General features: G+C 59.3%; 1 annotated feature.

Annotated features, from left to right (window-relative positions):
* Window positions 948-1,674: an enhancer, noted in NCBI's record as "H3K27ac-H3K4me1 hESC enhancer chr1:29877072-29877798 (GRCh37/hg19 assembly coordinates)". NCBI's record gives its function as "activates a minimal SCP1, AML or CMV promoter by ChIP-STARR-seq in naive H9 embryonic stem cells {active_cell/tissue: H9 hESC(naive)}" and the evidence as "EXISTENCE:reporter gene assay evidence [ECO:0000049][PMID:30033119]".

The raw sequence follows: 2,968 nt of genomic DNA, 5'->3' as shown, positions 1-2,968 counted from the left end.
GGGCTGCTGCCTGCACATTCTAGGGGGCGCCCTTCACGGCATGTCCATGTGTGAGTTGTGCAGTGCACAGCCTGTGCAGCAGTATGCTGAGGCCCTGAATTCTAGAAAGCCTTTCCTGACTGGCCGAGTTTGGTCAGGGGCCTCTCTCTCCTCTCTCACCCCTGGTCCATACCAGTCTGTGAGTTCCTTGAGGGTAGAGGCCTTGTCCTGCCCACCCCTGTGTCCCCAAGCCCAGCTCAGCACTTGATCCACAACAGGGCAGGCACCAGCAACCATTCCTTCAGCTCATGGGCGGCTGAACAGAGATTTACATCTATGTTTAGGCTCCAAAGCTCTTAACTGAGGTCCAAAGAGGTTAAGTGCCTGAAATAGCTAAACATACCCTATTGATATTTGCAAAGCCAGAGATCTGAGGTGGACAGTTAGACACGGCCTAGTGTCAAAATGCACAAATCCCACATCTCATTGCCAAGTCACATGCCTGGCAACGCCCATGTCCCCGCCCCTCCCGGCTTAGTACCGACTGAGACTTCGAAGAGACACAGTGAGGGTGTCTGTCTCAAACACCACTGAGTTCCCTGGCACTGCTGGAATCCTAAAGGTCTATTTCGTAGGCCATATCAAAATATTTCTGATGTTGCCCAAAAGAGCTGCACGGGACACTCGTGCTGTGCCAACCACAGGAGGAGAAATGGCCCAAACATGTGACATAAGCAGATGTGATGAGCTGCACCCCCCAACACACGGGAGGGGCAGCTCCGAGTGCAGGAGAGTCCCAGCCTTCTCCAGATGTCCCCAAAGGGCCATGCAGGGACCAGGACTTGGCGCCCACTCACCTCAGGCATTTGGTTTCCCGTGGTGCTGACTGGGAGGCAAATGTCCCTGGAAGGGGGCGTCAGGCTCAGTGGCCTTTGGGGACAGCTGGAGCCTCCATGTGCCAGGCCCTGTGCTGGGCACTGGGGATGCAGAGATGCCAGATGTCTTCCGGGGAGGAGCGTCTATGCTGAGCCCCGAGGGTGAGATGTTAGGCAGACGTGGAGGGTGGGGACTGACCATCACTCGCTGCTGTCACCTGCCACGTGCTGGGGCTGTGTTCTAAGCGTTTACTTGTATTAAATCCTCACAGTAGCCCCCGTGAGAGTGAGGGAGACACTATCACTACCCCCATTTACAGATGAGGAGACTGAGGCACAGAGAGGTTAGGAACTGCTCATCATCCGGTCACCCACCCGGCCAGGTTTCAGACCGAGGGGGCCTGGTTCCCGAGTCCTCCCAGGTCCCTGCTGTGCACGGGCAGAGGGAACAGCAGTGGCATAGGCTCAGAGGCAAGAGTGGGGGCAGGGAAGACTCAGGCAAGGGACATAGCTCAGTCTCACCTGGAGTGACAGCATGGGCAGCTGAGGGCGAGTAAGGCTGGGGGAGGGGCCGGCCCCGGGGAGCCTGACCCGCAGTCAGGGTATGACCACCCACACTCACTGCCCCGGGCAGGAGCACAAGGACAAAGCTTTGCCCTCAGGGCACTGGGTGGTGACTCCCGCAGGTCTCACTCCCCAACTTCGGGGCTGTGTCATCACCTCTGGGCCCACAGGCCCTGGCACAGGGCAGGGGCAGCCTTTGTCCATTTGGACTGCACAGGGCATTGCTTTCTCCTGCTCTGCGCTCAGCCCCGAACAGGCACGATGGAGCTGCAGACATGGGGGACACTGCCCTCAGTAGCTCTCGGCCCAGCCAGGGACACAGGTGAAAGTTCTGAGTGCTGCACCCGACATCACCAGCTCCCACATTCCTGACAAGTGGCTGAATGCACTTGAATCTGAAGGGAGATGTGGCCACGTGACTGGCTCTGGCCACTGTGCTGTGAGAGGCGGCGGCGTGTGTCACCTCCAGGAGGGGCAAAAAGGGCCAGGGCAGGGTTGATGCCTTCTTCCTGTTGCTGCATGAAGCCCTGTCCAGGTGAGAGGTGAGAGACTGCAGTGAGCAGAGCCCCGAGCCCCACCCTGAGCCACCCAGGCAGAGGCAGGAGCCTGCTCCTGCTGAGGGCGCAGGGCCGTTGATCACTGCAGCACAGCCCAGGCCCAGCCCATGCCCTGCACAGAGCCAGGTCACCTGAGAAGGTAAACACCACTGTGAGGAGGGAGGGGGCGGGGAGGCCGACTCCCCAGCCCCCAGTTCCCCAAGGAGGCTAGTCCCTGTGGGACGGATCCCTCAACGCCACCAGTCACAGGTCTATGGTGGTCCTGCCAGCATCAGGGCGGCTCCCAGGCCCCACCTCCAGCCTCTGACTGACCCAGACCTGGGGCCAGGTCTGCATTTACTCAGCCACTCAACAGGGAACATAGCCAGACACCAACCCTGTGCCAGGCGTGTGCTGGGCCCTGGAAATACCCAGGAACAGGACCCATGAGGCCCCTGCCCGCCTGGAGCTCATGGACTAGTGAGAGCAACAGTGATTCCAGTAAACCCCCAAGGAAAGAATTACAGAAGGTGCTGAGAGAAACCAGAGGAATGCCAAGAAGCTGGGGTGAGGGGAGCCAAGTCTGTGGGGCAGTGGGGGGAGAGGTCACATTTAAGCTGATGAAGATCAAAGGGACCGGCCAAGTAGAGGAGAGCAGGAAAGGGCATTGCAGGTGGAGGGAACTGCGTGGGCAAAGGCCCTGTGGCAGCAAAGCGCTCGAGTGTCCATGGGAGAGACAGCAGGGAGGGGAGGGAGGGCGAGGGCTGGGCCACACAGGCCTGGGAGCAGCAGTGGGGGGTCTGCACTTGATCCTGGAGGGAAGGAGAAGCCACTGAAGGGTCAGGAGGAAAGGGATGTGACCAATCCTCATTTCAGAAGAATCTTCTGGGAGCCCAGGGCTAAGCACAGGGCCTGGCATACGGTTGGTGCTCAATGAATGCTTGCTGACAATGACACTGCAGGAGGGAAGTGGGGACACTCCATGTAGGGCGACACTGACCGGCCCTGCACGAT

This window comes from Homo sapiens, chromosome 1 (genome assembly GCF_000001405.40).
Source record: "Homo sapiens chromosome 1, GRCh38.p14 Primary Assembly".
Taxonomy (NCBI): Eukaryota; Metazoa; Chordata; class Mammalia; order Primates; family Hominidae; genus Homo; species Homo sapiens.
The sequence above is the reverse complement of the archived record's forward strand: the minus strand, read 5'-3'. Positions and strand labels throughout refer to the sequence as shown.